General features: G+C 51.8%; 1 protein-coding gene and 3 long non-coding RNA genes across 6 annotated transcripts in view, besides 12 other annotated features; 2 read left to right on the top strand and 2 right to left on the bottom strand.

Moving 5' to 3' along the window:
• The window catches only part of LINC02288 (long intergenic non-protein coding RNA 2288), a 28,455-nt gene extending 22,997 nt beyond the window's left edge, over positions 1–5,458 (bottom strand). The window contains exon 1 of the long non-coding RNA NR_110554.1: positions 5,230–5,458. This is a non-coding gene — a long non-coding RNA (long intergenic non-protein coding RNA 2288). The remainder of the gene's footprint in view (positions 1–5,229) is intronic.
• Positions 1,440–1,950: an enhancer, noted in NCBI's record as "NANOG hESC enhancer chr14:77510900-77511410 (GRCh37/hg19 assembly coordinates)". NCBI's record gives its function as "activates a minimal SCP1, AML or CMV promoter by ChIP-STARR-seq in naive H9 embryonic stem cells {active_cell/tissue: H9 hESC(naive)}" and the evidence as "EXISTENCE:reporter gene assay evidence [ECO:0000049][PMID:30033119]".
• Positions 1,440–5,986: a biological region, named in NCBI's record as "VISTA enhancer hs1903".
• Positions 1,497–5,979: an enhancer, noted in NCBI's record as "VISTA enhancer hs1903". NCBI's record gives its function as "enhancer in: somite[7/16] | melanocytes[12/16]" and the evidence as "EXISTENCE:transgenic organism evidence [ECO:0001131][PMID:17130149]".
• Positions 5,255–5,986: an enhancer, noted in NCBI's record as "H3K27ac-H3K4me1 hESC enhancer chr14:77506864-77507595 (GRCh37/hg19 assembly coordinates)". NCBI's record gives its function as "activates a minimal SCP1, AML or CMV promoter by ChIP-STARR-seq in primed H9 embryonic stem cells {active_cell/tissue: H9 hESC(primed)}" and the evidence as "EXISTENCE:reporter gene assay evidence [ECO:0000049][PMID:30033119]".
• Positions 5,756–5,845: an enhancer, noted in NCBI's record as "active region_8787". NCBI's record gives its function as "activates an Ori minimal core promoter by ATAC-STARR-seq in GM12878 lymphoblastoid cells {active_cell/tissue: GM12878}" and the evidence as "EXISTENCE:reporter gene assay evidence [ECO:0000049][PMID:35858748]".
• Positions 6,096–6,285: a silencer, noted in NCBI's record as "silent region_5964". NCBI's record gives its function as "represses an Ori minimal core promoter by ATAC-STARR-seq in GM12878 lymphoblastoid cells {active_cell/tissue: GM12878}" and the evidence as "EXISTENCE:reporter gene assay evidence [ECO:0000049][PMID:35858748]".
• Positions 12,301–14,948, top strand: LOC105370579 (uncharacterized). Its single transcript, NR_169510.1, has 2 exons — positions 12,301–12,667; positions 13,292–14,948. It is a non-coding gene; the product is annotated as an uncharacterized LOC105370579 (long non-coding RNA).
• Positions 13,104–13,653: an enhancer, noted in NCBI's record as "NANOG-H3K27ac-H3K4me1 hESC enhancer chr14:77499197-77499746 (GRCh37/hg19 assembly coordinates)". NCBI's record gives its function as "activates a minimal SCP1, AML or CMV promoter by ChIP-STARR-seq in primed H9 embryonic stem cells {active_cell/tissue: H9 hESC(primed)}" and the evidence as "EXISTENCE:reporter gene assay evidence [ECO:0000049][PMID:30033119]".
• Positions 13,264–13,513: an enhancer, noted in NCBI's record as "active region_8786". NCBI's record gives its function as "activates an Ori minimal core promoter by ATAC-STARR-seq in GM12878 lymphoblastoid cells {active_cell/tissue: GM12878}" and the evidence as "EXISTENCE:reporter gene assay evidence [ECO:0000049][PMID:35858748]".
• On the bottom strand, positions 14,935–19,039 carry LOC107984638 (uncharacterized). 3 transcript variants are annotated; one of them, NR_190002.1, is made up of 4 exons: positions 18,696–19,039; positions 17,027–17,219; positions 16,771–16,846; positions 14,935–16,680 (listed from the first exon to the last, which is right to left on the bottom strand). It is a non-coding gene; the product is annotated as an uncharacterized LOC107984638 (long non-coding RNA). The 3 variants fall into 3 exon arrangements; NR_190001.1 differs by having other exon boundaries at positions 14,935–16,846; NR_190000.1 differs by lacking the exons at positions 14,935–16,680; positions 16,771–16,846; positions 17,027–17,219 and adding an exon at positions 17,473–18,118.
• Positions 16,226–16,746: an enhancer, noted in NCBI's record as "H3K27ac-H3K4me1 hESC enhancer chr14:77496104-77496624 (GRCh37/hg19 assembly coordinates)". NCBI's record gives its function as "activates a minimal SCP1, AML or CMV promoter by ChIP-STARR-seq in naive H9 embryonic stem cells {active_cell/tissue: H9 hESC(naive)}" and the evidence as "EXISTENCE:reporter gene assay evidence [ECO:0000049][PMID:30033119]".
• Positions 17,510–17,639: a silencer, noted in NCBI's record as "silent region_5963". NCBI's record gives its function as "represses an Ori minimal core promoter by ATAC-STARR-seq in GM12878 lymphoblastoid cells {active_cell/tissue: GM12878}" and the evidence as "EXISTENCE:reporter gene assay evidence [ECO:0000049][PMID:35858748]".
• Positions 17,799–21,964, top strand: IRF2BPL (interferon regulatory factor 2 binding protein like). The gene has a single exon (NM_024496.4). The coding sequence runs from the start codon at positions 18,715–18,717 to the stop codon at positions 21,103–21,105; it is 2,391 nt and encodes a 796-aa protein (NP_078772.1). The 5' UTR covers positions 17,799–18,714; the 3' UTR covers positions 21,106–21,964.
• Positions 17,840–18,049: a silencer, noted in NCBI's record as "silent region_5962". NCBI's record gives its function as "represses an Ori minimal core promoter by ATAC-STARR-seq in GM12878 lymphoblastoid cells {active_cell/tissue: GM12878}" and the evidence as "EXISTENCE:reporter gene assay evidence [ECO:0000049][PMID:35858748]".
• Positions 18,170–18,669: a silencer, noted in NCBI's record as "silent region_5961". NCBI's record gives its function as "represses an Ori minimal core promoter by ATAC-STARR-seq in GM12878 lymphoblastoid cells {active_cell/tissue: GM12878}" and the evidence as "EXISTENCE:reporter gene assay evidence [ECO:0000049][PMID:35858748]".
• Positions 21,965–22,086: the final 122 nt, after the last annotated feature.

Genomic DNA, 22,086 nt, shown 5'->3' with positions numbered 1-22,086 from the left:
GTTTCTATCACCACAACCCTCTGATTGTTTCACCTCTCCTGAGGTTCTCCTGGCCACAGTGGGTGCAGCAGCCCTACCATTGCAGAGTGGCTGGCAGCTCTGCCCTCGCCCAGGGCATTCTCCTTAAGGAGCAACTTCTGTCTCCTTTGCCCGTGAACCAACCTGAATGAAGTGTATTTCCAGGAAATATAAGCTGCCTTTGCTTTCAAGAGTCACATCTGGCCAGGTGCAATGGCTCACGCCTGTAATCCCAGTACTTTGGGAGACCAAGGTGAGCAGATCACCTGAGGTCAGAAGTTTGAGACCAGCCTGGCCCAATGGTGAAACCCCATCTTTACTAAAAATACAAAAATTAGCCAGGCATGGTGGCGTGCGCCTGTAATCCCAACTACTCGGGAGGCTGAAACAGGAGTATCACTTAAGCCCAGGAGGTGGAGATTGCAGTGAGCCAGATCATGCCACTGCACTCCAGCTTGGGCGACAGAGCAACACCCTGTTTCAAAAAAAAAAAAAAAAGCCACATCTATCAGTGATGGGTCCTGCAGGTCCCCCTTGCTCTTGTACCTCATCTATGCACACCTCCCCAGTAGCTTTCTGGTTTTGTGTATAGACAGATGTTTCTGATATATGCGTGCATGCAGTTCTGTGTGTGTTTTCTGGGCTCAAAAGCATCTGCGCTGGCACAGGCTGAAGGCTGGCACCACCCTTGGCAGCAATAGCCCAAGGACACTTTTTTGTCCATTGCATTCCATGTCTGGGTGGGGCCCCTGCCTGCTGGGTAAGTATTGACTCCCTGCACTTTTCCATCTATATCTTGGAGTGTTCTTTTGGCAGAAACTACAAGTGCTGCTAACTTGAGAGTCCAAACCCCAGCACCCAGCTGTTCTCAGCATATCTCCCTGAGATGGGGTGCTTGGGCTCACGGACTGACATCATGGCAGCTGCCATAATAAAACACTGAAGGGGTGGGGAACAGGCAGGCTCACTAAGCCACACCTTGCTTTCAGAACTTTTGGATGTCCACAGATCTTTTTAGCACTGTCTGCCCTCTTTTGTGGCTGCATTCTTGCACAAGACCTGGTTGCCCCTAGCTTCGTCTCTCTGAAAAACATGTTCAGCTCCCTCCAGAGAAAACTCAGAAACTCCTATGCATTTTCCTGGAATCATTCTATAGCTCCAGCCTGGGAAAGCTTCCAAAAGTTTCCTGAACCAAAGATAATAATAATAAAAGAGGTGAGGGAGGGGAGAATCGTGGGCACACAATTCTGTTGATTAATGTGCAAGGGAACAGACTAGGATTGTAGGGAAAGGAAAAAGAAAGGCTTTTCCAGGTCAGTTTAAACATTTGTGTTGTCTTCTTTAAAGGCAATTTCAAAATAGTTGGCCTCCCCAAAGCGATTTTTTGGAATCTACCCAGAGGGCAGAAAATGAACCCTTCCTTCCCCCATCTGGAAAGTCTTCACACCAGTGGCCCCACTCATTCCTGAGCTCTGGCTTTAGAAGGACTTTCCCAACCTTCCAAGATTCCCTGCCCTCCCTCACCCGCTGACCTATAGGGAGTTATGTTTGCTCCACCCCAAGCAGCTGCATTCCAGCTGTGGAGCTATTATGAAACATTTAGGAATCCTCTGGCTAGAAAGGTAAATGAGGAATATGCCCTAATGACAGCTGAAGGCTGGCTAAAATCTGTAAACAGAGAAGCAGCAAGGAACAAATGCTTGACAGAGGATTCCCTTTACAATTCTATTGTGCAGAAGAGTCAGCTGTTAACTTACAGAAGACCTTCTAGATGGTCTCACAGATAAAAGTGCTGATCAGCTTGACCCCCTACTGTGAATCGCAAGAAATGAAATTCAAACCTATTTGTGAAGATTCAAAAATATTTTCACTTACTCATGATCTCTCATCTTTTTAATTAAAGCACAACATCTTGCTCAAAACAAGCCTTTGAAACAACAAAATAAACAGAACCTTAATTTAGGGATTTGCCAACTGATCTTGACTACTGCTGGCAGGTTATAGCAGCCAGTTAGAAGCAGAACATGGGGTTCCCTGCCCTTCCGAAGATGGTGTCTGCCTGAGGACTCAGAAAAGAGGGGGGCCACAGAGACCCATGAGGATCCTTGAAATACACAGAAGTTGGCCAGACAGGGCAGGGCTGAGCAAATGGCTTTTTAGGCAGCTGAGGCCCTCTGCAGCTGTCAGAACAACTGCCACCAAGCTCTCCTGGTTGAGGTTGCAGCAAGTGCTGCAGTGTTGACCTTATCTTCCGAGACTGCGTTGTGGACACTCAGGTTAACGGCAGTCCACCTTACTATCTAGTTCTAGAACAGTCAGCGGCACCTGCCTAGCTACACGCTGTCTCACCCAAACCATTTCATTTCCTGGGTCTTGCGATTCTGGACTTTTCCACTAGCAACAACTGCCATCCAGCCAGACAGCAACAATGAACCACCACAGGTATGCTTTGAGAATCCAGTATCCAGGGTGGGGAACTCCATATAATCCTCCATTCACGCATGGTGCTAAAAGCAGATATGGAGAATTAGTAGAAGAGGTGCCCTGTGTCCCAGGGGGCCGCCCAGCCACAGTGAAAGCATCTCTCTCTCCCCACTTCTTCCTGCTCCAGTCGTTCTACCTCAAACACTCCCTACAGAGCACCTTTTAACACCTCTGGAGCCACCACTGCCACGTCACCCCTCACCCCCACCCACTGGCCTAACCACCCAATTCTCAGCCAGGTCTTTTGCAGAGCACAGCCTCCATGGTTGCCATGGAGGGTTTCTCCCCCCAGCAGTACCCCTTGGGGCTTTGAGACCCTATAAGGAAAGCACCAGGAAACCCCAAAACATTCTCCCTCCTGAAAACAATGGTTCCCAGTGTCTATGCCAGACACACTCACACCACCCAAAATAGACTCATTGTCCTCTTGCACAACATCCAGGAATTTGGTGAAACTCATCATTTTTCAGGTTACCGATAATGCAAGTTTGGAAACTGAAACAGGAAGGAACACAGGCTGAAAAGCTTTTATCCAGCCCACAGCATTTCTCTCTCCAGATGCAAGATAGTTTTTTTTTTTTTTTTCCCAGCAGTACTTTGGTGGGGTTAAAATTAGCTGGCAGCATTCTGGTCACATGCTAGACAACAAAACAAAAGGGAGTTGTTCCCCCTGCCGCTCCTGAACTGGCCCACGACAGAGTTTCCTAATCCATGGATTTCTGGGAAGCTGGCTCTCCGGGCCCTGGTATGGAGGGGCTACACCAAGGACTCCCCTCCGGTTATCATCCCTGCTATAATGGGGCGACACAGACGAGGTCAAGGCTGTTTGGAATCTTGGAGCTTGCCTCGATCTGGAAAGGCACTCAAGGGTCCAAAATGGCTTTTGTAAATCTTCTCACCAAAGCCAACAAAGAAGCAAACACTACAAAAACACTGAGAGAGAGAAGGGTAACATCTGACACATGAACATGGGCATCCATTGACTTGTGGGGTGGTGGCTGCTCTTGGCATGATTAAAAAAAAAATAGCCGGGTGTGGTGGCTCATGCCTGTAATCCCAGAAACTTTGGGAAGCTGAGGAGGGCAGATCGCCTGAGGTCAGGAGTTCGAGACCAGCCCGGCCAACATGGCAAAACCCTGTCTCTACTAAAAATACAAAAAAAGTAGCCAGGCATGATAGCACGTGCCTGTAATCCCAGCTACTCGGGAGGCTGAGGCAAGAGAATTGCTTGAACCCGGGAGGCGGAGGTTGCAGTGAGCTGAGACTGCCCCACTGCACTCCAGCCTGGGCGACAGAGGAAGACACCGCCTCAAAAAACAAAACAAAACAAAAATAAATAAATATAATACATCTGGGCTAGAGGTGGCGAACATTTAGGATAGATTCTGTATCTCTTGACCTTGATGACAGGGACATGTCAGGGTCTGCTTTGTTCATCCAGCTTAAAACTGTCACCAGAAGCCCTGGATAAAAATGCAGCCTCTGATTCACACACGGTCAGGAAACATGCCTTGTGCTCAGTACAGAAACATGTCCGTCAACCTGGGAAAGGAATCACCACCACGAAATATGCTTTTGGCTTGCCAAAGCTTAGCAGCTGTGAGAGCCAAAAACCCAGCTGCCTGGACTGTCTGGGGAAGTTGGCGGGAGGGAGGGGGGGTTGCTTTCTGAATCACCTGATTTCTGCCTCTAACTCTAGTTTAATTCCAAGTCGAAACCTATCTTGAAATGTCTCAAGAGCCTACTGCTCCTAAAAATTGTAGGTTTTAGCTAACCCTTCAGCTCTGTGCCTGCTGGCAAGGTGAAGCAGATGGCGTTTGTTGATTATTTATTTGGAAGGGGCTACTTTGGAATCAGGAAATTCCAGCGAGACAGAGTGCATCGCCTTGGCCAGAGCTGCCGTGACAATCACGAGCAGACACCCAGAGACAGTCAAGTTCAAAGAAATTGCAGCTAAGCCCCAGGAACTTGGGGCATTTTCAGTCTTTCTCGTCTCCTGGCCTCCATGTTCACCATGCACTTAGGAAGAAATGTTTCGTTCAGTTCAACATTCTGTGGTCTTCAAGTGTTTGAATACAAGGGCCCACATTCAAGGTCCCGCTTTGTCAAAAGGGCTTCACGAAGCTAACAGGCCTCTGACTTGTGTTTCATCCTGAAGCCCCTCATTATACAGACAGATCAAAACAGAAATCCCCCCTGCCTTAATGCCCAGCACATAAAGTCCTCTTTAATTAACATACACCATTTTTCAGTGAAACAGCCTCAAGGTGTTAAAAGTGCATAAAGGTCTGAAAGCTGAAGCCCAAGATAAACAGTGTGCCGAAATATATTTAGCAGAAAATATTGAAAGCCACAGGAAAAATAAGTTCCCTTCCTGGGATGTTAACGAATGTTTAGGTTCAGGAAACCTTCAGGAAGTAGCGAGCCGAGAAGGAATACTGCTCACCGTTTTTACCCCCAATGTAAATAAATCACTAAACCTCTTTGGTTTCCATAGGCCTGGGCTGGAGTGGAATATTTCATTTTTTCCCCATTAAACAGGCCACCCGGAGTGTTGGCATTACAGGCCTGAAAATATACCAAATCTGAATGTGCTATTTTGTTTCTGTACATTAAATCAGACTGTGTTTCAAACGGCAGTTCGTGCTAAATGGGGGGCTGATGATCCAGACTGTGCACCCTCACACACCTGAAATTGGCGCAGCGTAAATGATAGATCTGTTTCACCTTGGATCTCCCCGTGTCTTGTCTCCTACAGGAACACACCCTCTGTCGTTGTTGCCCAAGGTGATGTCATGTTCATTCTAAAGGCCGCGGTTCCAAGGGGACTACACCACAAGAAGATGCCTTCAGAAAGACCCAGATTTCCTGCGGTCTCAGGTAGGCGGCAGGGAGCAAGAGAACAAGGAAAGGACCCGCCACCACTCTCCCCAAGATGGATGCTGCATGATGTAAGTGGCTGGCTAAAATATCTGGCATCCTTGCAGTTTTAAGTTGCCAGCTAAATATTATTAAAAAGATAAAATACACGCAAACTGTGCAGAATGCAGGGCTGCTGTGTTTACATCCGGGTTTTGATGACTCAAAGACTTACACTTGAGCTTGCTGAAAAGCCTCTATTAAAAATACCGCTTTGTGAAAGCCCCCAGGGAGCAGGAAGAAAGCTGGGGGTGTGAAAGAGGAGAGCGGGAGGATGGTGACCCACCCAAGGACGGCGCTGACACCTGTGCTCCGGGCTGGCACTTAAGGCCAAGGAAGTGCTTAGAGGTTAACCTCCTCTCACCCTCGGAACCAGAGCGGGGAGGGTTAACCTTTTTCCAGAACATTTATTTCACCATCTCACTGACTAGAGGGAGGAGGGGCGGGAGGGGGAGAACGAGAGCCTGCCGCGCAGAGAGGCTGCGGATCACAAGGCCATTCTGATAGCCTCCTGTCCCCATGGCAACTGCAACGGCATTTATCAGTTCCTTCTGCGCACAGGCACAGCAAATCTGCATTGCACATGGCAGGCTTCCAGCATTTCAAATGAAAGAGCACTTTGAACGGCTGCCAAGTTTGGAAGGAGCAGAACTGTCAGGGCTGCTTAAAGCTGGCAGTTTATACTGGGGAGGTTTTCGCTTCCCACAATTCTCCGGGCCTGGCGAGCCGCCAAGTACTTAGCGGAAGCTAAAAAGTAACTCGCTCCCCTCCCTCCCCTCCCCTCCCCCTGCTCACGCTCCCCCTCCACACTATTCACCGCAGTGCTCTCAAAATTTTCCACATGTCCTGTGTCACCAGTGCAGACTGTACAATGAAAACCAGAACGCCGGCTGCCCACGACCAGGCTTTTATTAATAAATAACGGAGGGAGGAGGAGGAGGGGTTGGGATCAGACACTGACAGCTGGGGCACCGGGTCTCCGCGTACCTGCCAAAACCCCATAACCACTGGGTGTGAATGCGTGTGGTGTGTGTGCCTTTCAGCCTTAAAAATACATTAATAAAAATAAAAATAAAGGGAGCCTCAGAGCTGTAGACACCCTGAGTACCAGGGGAGGAGGGGTGGGTTTCGGTTGGATGGTTTGGCGCTTTATTTAGGGTGGGAATGGAGGTCTTGCAGGCAGCGTTGTTCAGATCCAGCCTTTCTAAGATCTGTAGGGAAGAGGGTTGTTATTGAGAGCTAAGCCTGTTTCTGGAGCTTTCCTTGAATCTCTCAGATGTCATGGTGAAAGCTGTGAGGCCACAGATGGGGAGGGAGTTCGGAGATGCTTTTCAATGCAAAGTTTACCAGATAACTTCTGACCGTCACGCACAGCCCAGAGCACAAGGGCTTCTATGGGCAGAAAGTGGAAATTGGCATAGTATTCACTGTACTTTTTTTTTTTTTTTAATGAAAATCTACACTGAGATCAAGGGCTTGGGCTTTATTTTCCAGCACAAATAGAATGAAAATTGTCTGCCGCTTAGGCGGTTGGATAGAGTTCAGGAAAACTATGTCTGGCATTAATTCCAAAGTGGAGGTTTTGGTTCAAACGAGGCCCATTAATTTCAGTAAACTGTTTTCACTAGTCCAGACCCTGCTGTGCAAGGACTATTTATTACCTTTTGCTAACCTGATGTCTGCAGAGTTGTAAAGCAAAGGGGGAAAAATCCAGGGTGAAGATATCTATATTTTGCATCAAATGGGTTTTGCACTTCCCTTGGGGGGCCGTGTTTTATGGGGAGTTTTCTATCCTTGGCTTTTATCAGTGCCAATTTTTTAAAAAAAAACTCCATCTTGCAATGAATTAGAAAAAAAAAAATCCTGAAGGAGAGGAGCCTGGTGAGAGCAAATACCCATCTCCTGCCTCTTTCAGAAGGGCACCTCCCAGACACAGGGATGTTTCGTGTCCCTGTCTTCAGCTCCCAGGCTGCAGGTCCACTGCAAAGCCCTGACATGATTCACCCTGACGATCGGGTCTAAAATACACCAAGACAGTCAATTTTGGCATTTGTTCTCCCTTAGGAATTTTACTAGCTGCCGTAGAAAAGCACATAAATTCCTTCCCCCTCCCTCTCTTTTTTCCGTGCCTCCTCTCTTCATCCCTCCCCCCCCACAAGTCCATCTTGATGTCATTTCAAAGAGAAGGATGAAAAGGGGGGATTTGTCAGGCAGTCCGGTTTGAGTGTGTCTTGCCAGGCCCCAACGCGCGCTCGAGGGCGCGCGCGCGCACACACACACACACACACACACACACGCACGCACCAGCTGAGAATGTTAATCAGAATTAAAAGCCAGTCAGTACTATTAAAGCATCAAACATGAAGACCTAGAGAAGAAGGAAGGTAATTGGGGGTGGGGGTAGAGGGAGTGGGAATGAAGTAGAATTCCGTCTTCTGCACTGACTTACTAAAATTAAAGGAGGGGAGAGGCAGCGGTAACCCCGATTTGGTCACCTTGTCAAATGTATTGGTCTTTCCTTTTAACTATCCCCCCACCCCACATCTCCCCACCTTCCTACCCCCTACGCCTCACCCCTTCCCAACACAGTCAAGTTTTGTGCCATTCCCAAGTGTGATTAATCTCTGGCAGAGGCCAGAAACAGGAGTAGGTTTCTTGGCTGCCCGTTCTGATAAACAATCTGTTCTTGGGGAGAGTAGGTGAAGGGGACTGGCGGGGGAAGTGGGGGCGGTAATCTGCGGGCATGATGTGGGGTGGGGGTAGGAGAAGGAGGAAGAGGAGGGGGCAGCCTCCAGGCCGGCCCCAGCTAACCCTAGTAGAGGCCGCCCCCCCACCCGCCGGAAAATGCAAGTGCCCCTCCTTGGGGCGCGTGGTCTGGGGGTGAGTCAGGTTTCCTGCCCTTAAAAATGTGAGCAGACAGTATATGCTTTCTTGCTTGTCACTTCACAACGTCCAGGGAACGTCGGAGGGACATCAAGGGCCCAGGGAGAGGGAAGGAAGAGGAGGGGAGGAGAGAGGAGCCCGCGCATCCCTAGGCTTTGAACCCATTTCAAACGCTCTGGGCGTTGCAAACCAGGTGCGCTTGTGCACAGACTGCTTGTCCCAAAAGGAAACCGAGGCAACCACGGGGGAGGCTGGGTAGGGATGGTGGTGGTAAGAAGTATTTTAAAGCGGAACAAGGAAAGCCAGAAGATGTTTAAAACAAAAGGAGAGACTATTGTTCAGCGTCGGAGGTCGCTGGGATGGAAGCTGTAGGCAAGAAAGCTGGCTGCGGATTTTGCAGTGGGTTTATTGTGTGGGCAACCAGGCAGAAAGCGGGAATATGAAAAAGTGGGGAGGGGGAGAGTTGGCGTGAAGGAAAATCAGTGCCTAGAAAGCTGTGCACGCTGAAAATGTCACCAAGGAGAGGGCAGTGGCACCGAATAAAAGATGAATAATCGGCTACCTTTTGGAAAAAGCAATGTAAAAATATTAATAAAGGCGAGAAGCCCGCTTCTTCTCAGCCTGAAAAGCAAATCCATTTCTCACCTCCTGCCTCTCCTCCCCATCCCAACACACACAAAACACACACATACACACAGCTCTTCTCTGCCCTGCATCCAAGAAGCCTCGGCTAGGCTCGCTTTCCTTTGGATTTAATTACTCGAAAATGCTGAACAAAAACCTGTAATTACACCCTTAGTCCCTGCCACTCAGGCCCAGTACACTTCCTGCCTAGTTTTGTTTTTTAAAGAAGAGGTCATTGCCTCTTTTCTTTCCAAATTGGCCAAAACAAAAAAAAAAAGTAAAAGCCCTAAATAAATCCAACTGCTCCGAGCTTCACTGCCACCACCAGGGATTTGGGGAGGGGATATCCTTGTCTCTCTAGGAGAGATGAGAAACAAACAGCCTAACCTTGCTATTGTCTTTCTCCAGCTTTTAGGCCTAAAGCTTGTCATTGCTTGTTTGTCTGCCAGCCCAGAAGGACATGGACATGCTAGATTGGCCCCCCAGGAGGAGGCCCTCCAAGGGCAAGATGAAGAGAGTGGACAGGGCTTAGCGGCAGGCCTGGCTTTCCACCCATTTTACCTCGAAGGGCTTAGCGCTGGAAAAAAGATTTGTCACAGTGTCTCGCCTTTCTACAGCCCTAGGCATTAACATACAGAATTTCATAGCAAACCCCTGAAGTAGGGAGAACAGGTTTTAATATCAACCTTTGACAGGTGAAGAAATGGAGTCCCAGAGAGAATAAATAGATTGCTCTAAGTCAGTCATGTGGCTGGTGGGAGTATTGAAAAAGCTCTGCCTCTTATGACTTTTGGGCTATTGCATCAGGAAAGTAGGACACCTAGGAGGAAATGGAAGCTTCTAGATTCTGGGCTACAGCCAGTCTGGCTTGGTTCATCCAGCACTGAGATAGAAAGTGTTCCCTAAATAAATAGTTGAATAACTGAATGAATGGTAAATGGAAGGGCACTGGTTAGGGAGTTGGGGAACAGAAACCCACCAGGCCATCTGGTAGCCAAGTTTCAGCTTCGAAACAAAATGTAAGTACTGAGAATAGTTTCACACCAGGAACCTATCAAGCTTACTCTTCTGTGTACGGCCAGAGAGGGGAGTTCAGGTTAAAGTATGGTGGTCCTCTACATGTGTTGGAGGGGTCACTTTGTTTCCGGGCTTTCTTGCTCCAGTGATGCCTAGGCCAGATTTGATGTCAGAGCTATACACCTACCCTTGGCTAGAAGTGCTTTTTTTTTTTTCTCTTAAGAGATGAAGGCTGGGTGCGGTGGCTCACACCTGTAATCTCAGCACTTTGGGAGGCTGAGGTAGATTACCTGAGGTCTGGAGTTCGAGACCAGCCTGGCAAACATGGTGAAACCCCATGAAACAATATATACAAAAATTAGCCAGGCATGGTGGCAGGCACCTGTAATCCCAGCTACTTGGGAGGCCGAGACAGGAGAATCGCTTGAACCCAGGAGGTGGAGGTTGCAGTGAGCCGAGATTGCGCCACTGCACTCCAGCCTGGGCGTAGAGTGAGACTCCATCTCAAAAAAAAAGGTCTTGCTCTGTCACCCAGGGTGGAATAGTGGAATGCAGTGGTGTGATCATAGTTCACTGCAGTCTTGAACTACTCCTGGGCTCAAGTGATCCTCCCACCTCAGCCTCCCAAGTAGCTGGCACTACAGGTGTGCACAACTGCACTGCACCTGGTGGCCAGAAGTGCTTTGAGGACTGTAGCCTGCCACAATCATGTGGCCCCTAGCCTAAGGACAGGACAGTACATGTTGGGTGAGTGTCTATACAGCTGGTGTGACCCGTATAAGGTGGCGCACGTTACTTATGTGATATGACTTTTGGGTATGAGAAGAGGCTCCTTCCACTATAAAATGCACTCTCTTCATTTTCCTCCTTGTTTATTGTTCAGCCTGGGGTCTTTCTCAAGAGTGCACAATGAAAATGCTGCTGTCCTTGGTAAGGGTATCTCAGTAAATTCCTAAATGCTTCAGTGAGTTCTAGAACTTCAGATTTTCCTCCATCACCTCTGCCAAGGACCGGGGTATAGAAAAGGCAGGAAGAGACCAGATGCGGTGGTAATCCCTGTACTTTGGGAGGCTGAGGTGAGAGAACTGCCTGAGCCCAGAAGAGACAGGCCTGGGCAACATAGTGAGATCCCCGTGTCTACAAAAAATAAAAAACTAAGCTAGGTATGGGGTGGTGCATGCCTGTAGTCCCAGCTACTCCTAAGGCTGAGGTGAGAGATCGTACCACTGCACTCCAGCATGGGTGAGACCCTGTCTCAAAATAAATAAATAACATGTTTTTGTTTTTGTTTTGGCAGGGGCTGAGCGCAGTTGCTCACGCCTGTAATCTTAGCACTTTGGGAGGCCCAAGCAGGTGGATTACTGGAGTCCAGGAGTTTGAGACCAGCCTGGGCAACATGGCAAAATCCCATCTCTCTCTTTTTTTTTAATACTAAAAATAAAAAATGAGCTAGGCGTGATGGCACACACCTGTAGTCCCATCTACTTGGGAGGCTGAGGTGGGAGAATCATCTGAGCCAGGGAGGTTGAGGCTGTATGGGCTGAGATGGCACCACGGCACTCAGCCTGGGCAACTGAAGTGAGACTTTCTCCAAAAAAAAAAAAAAAAAAGAAAAAGAAAGAAAGTAAAAGAAAAAAAAAGGCAGGAAGAAAGAGAATGGTTTTACAGGATGCCAGGAAAGCATAACTACTCAATTTTGCTTCAAAGCTGGATAGTGATTTTAACTCCAAAATAACCTGTGCTAATTTATGTATAACCTTGCATCTACTGGGACATGAACCTGTAAACTCCAATGGGGAGAGAGGTTTTAATTTCTTGCAGTTTCTGAGGAGCATCTGAGACCCTCAAAAAGGTATAGCAACAGGCGGGGTGAAAGAAGAAATGCGTTTTACAGCCAGGGAACCTGGTTTCCAGTAATTCTGGACTTGGCTTTCCTCACCTATACAGGAGGTTGATGAAAGTAACACCTACTTCACAGGGTTGATGTAGGGATTGGTGAAATAATGTCTGGGAATGCTCTTCCGAGCCCTAGACAAATGTTGGTCATTGTATTGTTAATAATTTCTTACATTTTATTAAGCACATTACATTGTCTTCCACACAGATCAACGAGGCAGGCAAAGGAAGCAGTGTAACTTTTTCCCATTTTACGGATGAAGAAACCGAAATTCAAGAGATTTGCTCAAGTTTACACAGCTGTTTAGGGTCAGCCAAGTCCAAGTTAAACAACATAATGTAAATATGTACCCAAATGCTAAGCGCCCTCCCTTCCTCCCTCTCTCCTGAGTTTCGGGTTGAACTACTCAGCTCACGCAAGCCAAAATATTTGAAGATCCTGGCCCATCCATCCCAACCAGGCACAGCAGTGACAGCTGCCCCATGTACCAGACCTGACCGAGGGATGGCGAGGCTGCAGGGAGGGGCTTCCCGCTCTGAGGCCCCGCCTTCTGGTGGCCCCAGCAGGAAAGCGCCGGCGGCAACGGGTCTCCGTAGCCGGACGGTGGAAATCCCCAGGTCGGTGTGGGCCAGTGGGAACTGGCTGGCACTCCTACTCCCTGCTGAGGCCCAGGCGCGCGCCCGGCGGGGTGGAGGGTCCGGGGGTATGCGCACCTGTGGCCTGGTCGGCCGCCCTGCCAGCTTTCTGCCTATTCTTGCCGTCCAAGGCTTCCTTCCTCTCCAACCCCCCTTTTTGGGGTGTGGGTATTTGTTTTAACCCAACCAGGTCAGTGAATAGCATCCTTGTCTGGCTCTTCCCTCTTTTTTTTTTTTACCTCTAGGCCTGGTACCTGGGCGGCTCATTCCAGGGTTCCTTTATTTTTGGACCTAAAAAAACCACACCAGCTTTTGCTGAGGACAGCGCTGGGCTCCCCCATCCTGGCACGCGGGCAAAGAGAGGAAGCGGGGAGGAGGCAGGAACCAGACGCGACTCCCCCCGCCTTTCTTCCCCTCCCTGTTCCCCGCCCCTCCAGGAAGAAATCAGTCAGAGATCCATCGCTCGCTGTGGCCACTGTGCCTGCACTAAACACTACGCCCGCTCTCCTTTTCCTTCCACCCGATTTTGCACGGAGAGCCCGGCTGCCCGCGCGCCCCAGGCTGGGCAGGTCCTGGCAGGCGGTGCAGGCTTTCCTCCCCCGGGGCTTCTCAGCGAATCACGTTGTTCCTGGGATTTCATGCTCGAGTGGCTCTTGCGTAACCCTACGCCCTGGCCTAAGTTAATACTTTTTTTTTTTTTTTTTCAAATACCGGGATTACTCCTTTAGGGAAAGGCAAATACTTCCGCCACGGAATGGGCCTGGGAGTAAATCTGTAAATCATCTTGCTGTCTCCCTTCCCCCACCCTCCCCAGCCCCTTTGCTCGTCTCTACAGGCCCAGGGCTCAAACTGCGCCTCTGGGGTTCCTGGCGCGCGGCGATCAGGGGCCATCGAAAGGCCAGAGGAGGGCCCAACGCAGACGTTTGTTTTCATCTTCTCCAAGGCGGATCTCGCAGGCCAGAGAAGTGGGTCCCGCTTACCGCGGGGCTGTTACCAAAAAAGGCCTTTCTCTCGCTGGAGCGCTTGGCGGCGCGCGTTGCAGCAGGGTGACGCGAGGTTCAGCCCGGGCCTCCTTGAAGGTTGAGCCAGCTGACTGCAGGGCTGCCAGGCCAAGAGCCCCCCCTCCGCAACACACACACACACCCGCGCCCCGTCTCTGCCACAAAACGGCGGGGGCAGGAGAGAGAGTGCAGGGAGCTTCGAAGTGCGCGCCTGGCGACCTTCTCACCACTAGTAACCTTGGGCTATGGTGCTCCGGCAAGGCCAGGTGGAAAGCTGACCTTTTGCTCCAGTTTAGAGCAGGGTTCTCTGAGGATGCCAGCCCAGATGGCAAGCTGGGTGGGGAAAGCGACAGTAGGAAGGAACTTTGGGAAGATGATGCCGCCGTTTGGCGCCCGGCTCTGCTAGTCTCTGCTTGTCTCCCAGACCCCATGGACAGAGTTCTTTGAGTCTCTACACCTGGCAGTTTACGTTGAGGCTCCTCCACCTCCACCACCCCCCTCCCAAATCCTTTCCAGTTCCTTTCCACCGTTGTCATAGTTTTGTTCCACGGGACTCTTCTTCAGGGAGAAAACCCACCTCCAGAACACTGGAGTTCTAGCCTCTCACCGTCTCTCACACATCCCCAAACGGCCATCTCAGGCAACAAGAGATACCACAAATGATGTTGATTCTTTTTTTTGGTTGGGGGGGGGGGGGCGGTTTGGAGACAGCTGTGTTTTATAAATGAAAGGATTATGAGTCTGTAATGGAAGTCTGTTTAAATACACGTTGATTTCTAACTCAGTGTGTCTGAAGGCACCCCAGCATGTATGTGTGTATATATATCTCCTTTAGTAACAGTGAAGACAGAGACAGACAGGGAGATGGAGACATATGTGTGTGCATACCAAACATAACACCATGACATAGAATCCAACTTGCTTTCTCTAGCAGCCTGGCTGGAGGGTTGTGGCTAAGTTGCTATTTCCCTAATATTTTTGGTTTAATAAAGGGAAGGGCTGAATAAATATTAATGTAAAGAAATGGGTCACCCAACCGAGCCAAAGCTAAGGAGCCCCAGGCTGGCGGGGATGTCAAACCATTTCCCACCCCTATGTTTTGACTCACTCCAGGGTAGCGGTAGTGTGGGGAGGGCTGAAGTCTGGGAGAGTGAGGCAATGCTCCCCAAGCAACTCTTTGCAGAGGAATCACTGCAAAGTGCCAGCAGGCCAGAGAAAGTTTATTATTGCTCTAGAGTGCACAGTGAGCTCACTGTTTTGCAAAAACAGAAATCTGGCTGCTTTGAGATGAAAGAGGGGCTCCCTAGGGCTCCTCCTCCTCTTCTGTCCTTAAAAACTCGCCTTTCCTTTGCACTCAGGGGCCCCAGAATGAGTGGGAGATTGGGGCTCTGGGGAGGGTTGGATAGGGGAACAGGCTCTGGAAGTCAAGTGTCAAAATAAAAGTAAGTATCTCTTGTTGCTTCCACTGAACTTTATTGCAATTACTAGTAATAAGAGTGATAATAGTGATCCTCACAATTTATGCAGTTTACTAAGTACTGTCACATGTCAACCAGCAATAGTACCAACACTAGTATCAATACTAATAATAACTAACACTAACTGTGAGTCCAACACTGCTCTCCATTCTGTATGGTGTATTTAAGTTACAGTCTGGTAGTGACAGATCTACAACTTCTGTATATAGAACTCAGTGGTACAAATGCGCTTGGAAGGGGAGGCTGGGGGTTGGTTATGAAGGTGTATTGGCATAGTACTTACGTAAGATTGTATGTAACACCAAATCAACTGGGGCTGATGGGAATTTTGAGCACCCCAAACCACCTCTGCAAGCCTGAGCTTGTCAAAGACACCTCAAATCAGATTTACTGGATTCAAATCCCAGCCCCATCACTAATGGCTGTAGGCAAGTTATATAGCCTCTTTACTTTCCTGGTTTGTAAAATGGAGGTAAAAGAATCTACCCTGTAGATAATATTAAGGGTTTAATACTGTAATAGGCCGGTCACGGTGGGTCATGCCTGTAATCCCAGCACTTTGGGAGGCTGAGGCGGGAGGATCACCTGAGGTCAGGAGTTCGAGACCAGCCTGGCCAACATGGTGAAAGTCCGTCTCTACTAAAAATACAAAAATGAGCTGGGTGTGGTGGCGGGCGCCTGTATCCCCAGGTACTTGGGAGACTGAGGCAGGAGAATTGCTTGAACCTGGGAGGTGGAGGTTGCAGTGAGCTGAGATTGCGTCACTGTACTCCAGCCTGGGTGACAGAGTGGACTCTGTCTCAAAACAACAACAAAATACTATAGATAATATCCCCTTAATAATGTAGATAATATTAAGGGTGATGCAAGTAAAGCCACCTAGTTTACTAAGGTCCCACGGCAAGTCTAAGTAAGCGTTATCTCTTCTTATGACAAGAAACAAATTGAGGCCGGGTGAGGTGGCTCATGCCTGTAATCCCAACACTTTGGGAGGCCAAGGTGGGTGCATCACTTGGGCCCAGGAGTTTGAGACCAGCCTGGGCAACACGGCAAAACCCCATCCCTTTCCAAAAATACAAAAAAATTGGCCAGGTGTAATGGCACATGCCTGTAGTCCCAGCTACTAGGGAGGCTGAGGTGGGAGGATTACTTGAGCCTGGGAGGTCAGGCTGCTGCCAGCCGCGAGTGTGCCACTGCACTCCAGCCTGGGCAACAGAACAAGATCCTATCTCAAAAAAACAAAAAACCGAAGTTGAAATCTCAAACAACCCTAACAACCTGGGAGCTATCATTCCATTCTCTTTTCCATGGAAAAGAGAGATTTTGTGGGTAACTAGCTTAAGGGTGGAGAGCCAGTTAGTGATGGAGAGGAAATTTCAATCTGGTGGGCCACACTTCAGAATCCGAAATCCCATTATATTGCTTTCCCTTCTCCAGCCTTCCCTGGGATTATCTCAGTTTTCATGAAATAAAAAAAAAAAAAAAAGCAAACCCAATAATTAGAATAATCAATAGAAATGCCCCAACTAGAGCTATGACCAACATATCCATCGTGCCATAAGCAATACTGATGAGCAGTGATCTTGTAAGGCAGAAGAAATCACGGCCTTGGCCGGGCGTGGTGGTTCATGCTTGTAATCCCAGCACTTTGGAAGGCCGAGGCGGGAGGATCACCTGAGGTCAGGAGTTCAAGACCAGCTGGCTAACATGGTGAAACCATGTCTCTACAAAAATACAAAAAATTAGCTGGGCCTGATGGCGGGTGCCGGTAATCACAGCTACTTGGGAGGCTGAGGCGGAAGAATCGCTTGAACCTGCGAGGCAGAGGTTGCAGTGAGCCGAGATCGCGCCATTTTGCACTCCAGCCTGGGCGACAGAGCAAGACTCCGTCTTAAAAAAAAAAAAAAAAAAAAATCACGGCCTTGTTCCGCCTTCTGGGGCAACATGGAGTGAGATCACAGCGCCTGAGAAAGAACTTTGAAAACTGCGGCTGTGCTTTACAAAAATGTATCAGTATTATTAAATGCTGCCTCCACCTTTTAAAAATCAAACTCTAGAAAAAACACTCACCTGTTTGGCCTCTCCGGCCCCTCCCCCTCCCTGCCCTGAACTGCAGCTGTGCGCAGCCAGTTGCCTGTTTTCCTTAAAGGCCTCGGGGTGCTCGTATCTTCTTCAGACGTTCAGCCAAAATTTTTAAAGTGCGGCTGGGGGGAAGGGTAGCGCACTCTGAATTCATTTAGCTCTATCGTTGAAGCCCGGGTTCCTAGATCAGGGCACAAAAACAAATAGAAAAGACAATTTCTGGAAGATTGGAAAACAGCTAATTTTGCAGGTGCTTCGGCATCAGTGGTGGCGATGAATTTAACATCCATGCCGGGGGGGATAAGGTTCAACCGCAGATGAAATGGTTAATACCTTATACGAAATTCACGGCGAAAAATCCTGAAACAGGACATTTAAATTCACTGCCGAGGCTTGGGGGTGGGGTGGGGAGCAGGGATCGGAAACGACGCTAGTGGTTCTTAAATGCGTTTTTACTTGGGAATGCCCGGCAGGGAAAGGAAAGGTCATCGTCTGTTTAATTTCCACCCCCAGCTCTGGACTTCCAGCATTAGCTCGCCGGGCCTCAGCTGTTGTACACACACGGCGAGGGGGGAGGGGAGGGCGGAGGCGCGGAGGAGGGGCCGGCTGGGAGGAATCTGGGCGTCCTGCCGCGCATGCGCCTTGCCTGAGCAACAAGTGGGCTCCACAGAGGAAGTGTAAAGGGGAGGGGGAAGAACTGGTGCAGAGCATGGCGGTGACGTCAGCGCTCCGCCCGGGCGGCATCCCGCGCGGCCAAGCCGGGGACAGCGCGAGCCGCAGCCGGAGCAGGAGCGCCGAGACGCGCCTCCGGAACGTAGAGTAACAATCACAACCCCACATTCCGGGCGAGCGTGAGCACGAGCGGGAAGGGATGCGACCCGGGCCGAGGCGCCGCGCGAGCGCCCTGCAGCCAACGTGAGCGCCGCCAGCCGCGGCGGCCCGGGCGCCGGCCAGGCCTGGGGGCGGCGGGAGCCTGCGTGCGTGCACTCCTCTCCTCTGCTCTCGTGCGTCCTGGAAGCAGTGGCCGCGGCGGCTCCCTCCGGGGTGCAAACCCAGTCGCCGCCAGCAGAACGGCCGACGCTGCGGAGGGGAGAAGGTCCTTTCTCGGCTGCCACCCCCTCCCCCGGTCCTCCGGGGAAGCAGCGGCTTCAGCAAGATTGGACCCGGGCACCGGGTGGCACTGAACCCTCTGGCCCTCGCCCCAGGGGGCCCGTCGGGGAGAGGACGCAGCTCGTAGGGGGGTCCCCGGGGAGAGGAAGAGACAGCCCCTTTCGAGCTTCCACGCACCAGCCACTCCGGGGAGGGGGCCAAGAGGCAACGGCGGCCACCACCGGGCACCCTCGCCCCCTCCCCTCGGGCCGGGAGCTTCCAGCCCAAGTCTGCAGCACCAGGAAGAAGGCGCCTGAGCTCCCCTCGCGACGAGTCAACCGCAGTAGGAGGTGGGGGCGAAGAGAGGGCTGAACCCGTCCGCTGCCCGGGCGGTGGAGCCCCCACGGCGAGGCGCTGCGCCGGCGGTGGAGACTCGCGTTCCCTCCAGCCCCTGGGGCAGAACTTTCTCGCCCCCCCTCCTCCCTCCCCCGCAGTCGGACTCCCTCCCCAGCCGGCCAGTCCTCCCGGAGGAGAAGGCGCCGCGGAGACAGCCCGGGCGGGGGCCTACCTTCCCCAGGGCAGGCATCATGTCGGCGGCGCAGGTGTCCTCGTCCCGGAGACAATCTTGCTACCTGTGCGACCTGCCCCGCATGCCCTGGGCCATGATCTGGGACTTCTCGGAACCCGTATGCCGCGGTTGCGTCAACTACGAGGGCGCTGATCGCATCGAATTCGTGATCGAGACAGCGCGCCAGCTGAAGCGGGCGCACGGCTGCTTCCAGGACGGCCGCTCCCCCGGGCCGCCGCCGCCCGTCGGGGTCAAGACAGTGGCCCTGTCGGCTAAGGAAGCGGCGGCGGCGGCGGCAGCAGCGGCGGCCGCCGCCGCCGCCGCGCAACAGCAACAGCAACAGCAGCAGCAGCAGCAGCAACAGCAGCAGCAGCAGCAGCAGCAGCAGCAGCAACAACAGCTCAACCACGTTGATGGTTCCAGCAAGCCTGCGGTGCTGGCGGCCCCGTCTGGCCTGGAGCGCTACGGCCTAAGCGCTGCCGCCGCCGCCGCCGCCGCCGCCGCCGCTGCGGTGGAACAGCGCAGCCGCTTCGAGTACCCGCCACCGCCGGTGAGCCTGGGAAGCAGCAGCCACACCGCGCGACTGCCCAACGGCCTGGGGGGCCCAAACGGCTTCCCCAAACCAACACCAGAGGAGGGACCCCCAGAGCTGAACCGTCAGAGCCCCAATTCTTCTTCAGCGGCGGCGTCGGTGGCGTCTCGGCGTGGAACGCACGGTGGGCTGGTTACGGGGCTGCCCAACCCGGGGGGTGGCGGAGGCCCCCAGCTCACCGTGCCCCCCAACCTGCTACCGCAGACGCTGCTTAACGGCCCGGCCAGCGCTGCGGTACTCCCCCCACCCCCTCCCCACGCCCTGGGCAGCCGTGGGCCCCCGACGCCTGCTCCCCCAGGGGCTCCTGGGGGCCCCGCTTGTCTCGGGGGTACCCCGGGTGTATCGGCCACGTCGTCCTCCGCGTCGTCTTCGACCTCTTCGTCGGTGGCAGAGGTGGGCGTGGGTGCTGGTGGTAAGAGGCCCGGCTCGGTGTCGAGCACAGACCAGGAGCGCGAGTTGAAGGAGAAGCAGCGCAACGCCGAGGCCCTGGCCGAGCTGAGCGAGAGCCTGCGCAACCGCGCCGAGGAGTGGGCCAGCAAGCCCAAGATGGTCCGCGACACGCTGCTCACGCTGGCAGGCTGCACGCCCTACGAGGTTCGCTTCAAGAAGGACCACTCGCTGCTGGGCCGCGTTTTCGCCTTCGACGCCGTCTCCAAGCCCGGCATGGACTACGAATTGAAGCTGTTCATTGAGTACCCCACGGGCTCGGGCAACGTGTACTCCAGTGCATCTGGTGTGGCCAAGCAGATGTATCAGGACTGCATGAAGGACTTCGGCCGGGGCCTATCCTCGGGTTTCAAGTACCTGGAGTACGAAAAGAAGCACGGCTCCGGGGACTGGCGCCTGCTTGGAGACCTGCTCCCCGAAGCCGTGCGCTTCTTCAAGGAGGGCGTGCCCGGCGCCGACATGCTGCCCCAGCCCTACCTGGACGCCAGCTGTCCCATGCTGCCCACTGCTCTGGTGAGTCTGAGCCGCGCCCCCAGCGCACCCCCGGGGACCGGGGCCTTGCCGCCCGCCGCGCCGTCGGGCCGGGGCGCAGCCGCCAGCCTGCGCAAGAGAAAGGCCTCTCCGGAGCCCCCGGACTCAGCCGAGGGCGCGCTGAAGCTGGGCGAGGAACAGCAGAGGCAGCAGTGGATGGCGAACCAGAGCGAGGCGCTGAAGCTCACCATGTCCGCCGGGGGCTTCGCGGCGCCGGGGCACGCGGCGGGGGGTCCGCCTCCGCCGCCCCCACCTCTGGGACCCCATTCCAACCGGACCACCCCACCTGAGTCAGCCCCCCAGAACGGTCCGTCCCCTATGGCCGCTCTCATGTCGGTGGCAGATACTCTGGGCACAGCGCACTCGCCCAAGGATGGCAGTTCCGTGCACTCTACCACTGCGTCGGCGCGGCGAAACAGCAGCAGCCCAGTCTCGCCGGCCTCCGTGCCGGGGCAGCGCCGCTTGGCATCACGTAACGGGGACCTGAATTTACAGGTGGCGCCCCCGCCGCCTAGCGCCCACCCGGGCATGGACCAAGTGCACCCCCAAAACATTCCGGATTCCCCCATGGCCAACAGCGGACCCCTCTGCTGCACCATTTGCCACGAACGTTTGGAGGATACGCATTTCGTTCAGTGCCCTTCCGTCCCCAGCCACAAATTTTGCTTCCCTTGCTCTAGAGAGAGTATCAAGGCCCAGGGGGCCACCGGCGAGGTGTATTGCCCCAGCGGAGAGAAATGCCCCCTAGTCGGGTCGAATGTACCTTGGGCCTTCATGCAGGGCGAAATCGCGACTATCTTAGCTGGGGATGTTAAAGTGAAAAAGGAGAGAGACCCTTGAACCACTGGGCAGCCACCTCCTTTGCCCTAGACCAGCTCCTCTCCAATCCTGAGGGCCCCTCCCCCAACCCAACTCGACCCTCCCTCCCCTCACCCCCAAGGTGTAGAATTGTGAATATAACGAAACTGCAAAAAGTTAGTCTTATGTATAGACATTATTTTCGTCGTATGTTTCTATATTTTGAAACAAAGGTATGTAACTTCTTCATTTGAAGGATAAGCTGGTTTGTGTTAAGCAGTATAGTATTGGTTGGGTCATTTGCATCATATCGTTAGCATTTATTTGGTGGCAGAATGTTTGCCTAGGTACAGAATTAATAGCCCTTAGCAACGACTGCTGCTGGTGTGTATTTTTGTAAATGTTATGCACTCTCTGAAAGGAAAAACACACACAAAAGAAAAAGACTTTTTTTTTTTTTTTTTTTTTTTTGCCAAGGCCAGTGTTGCTGCCTAAAAAAAAAAAAAAAAAAAAAAAAAAAAAAAAAAAATGCTATAAAATGGTGAAAGCTTCCTTCTAAACTGCCCCAAGTGTTGAAGTCTTCACTTTATTTTGTTGTTTTGTTTTGTTTTTCTGTTTTGTTTGCAAAATGGTAAGGGGGTGTCGGGGGGGATGGGGTGTATTTTGTTGCAAGTTTGTGAGGGGAAAATGTTTTGGTTTGTTTCTACTGACCTGAATGTGTTGGATCTACACGTGTTGTTTTGTTTTTGCTTTATTGATGCACGGATGCTTTTGAACAGTAGAGCGAAATGCTAGACATGGAGAATCTGCTCTGTTTGTCCTTTATACATTTCTGTAGTTAACAGAACACTGTAATGTGCCTTGGAGCTTAGTAACTTGTAATAAATTCAATTGATATTAACTGCGCTGAGTCAGCAATTTTGTCTTTCTAGGGCTAAGGCCATGCAACTCCGACGTAGGCGACACCCTCCCTACCTCCAGTATAGAACGAAAATCCTAGTGCTTTTGAAAGCCCTGGGAGCT

This window comes from Homo sapiens, chromosome 14 (assembly GCF_000001405.40).
Source record: "Homo sapiens chromosome 14, GRCh38.p14 Primary Assembly".
NCBI classification, from domain to species: Eukaryota; Metazoa; Chordata; class Mammalia; order Primates; family Hominidae; genus Homo; species Homo sapiens.
The sequence above is the reverse complement of the archived record's forward strand: the minus strand, read 5'-3'. Positions and strand labels throughout refer to the sequence as shown.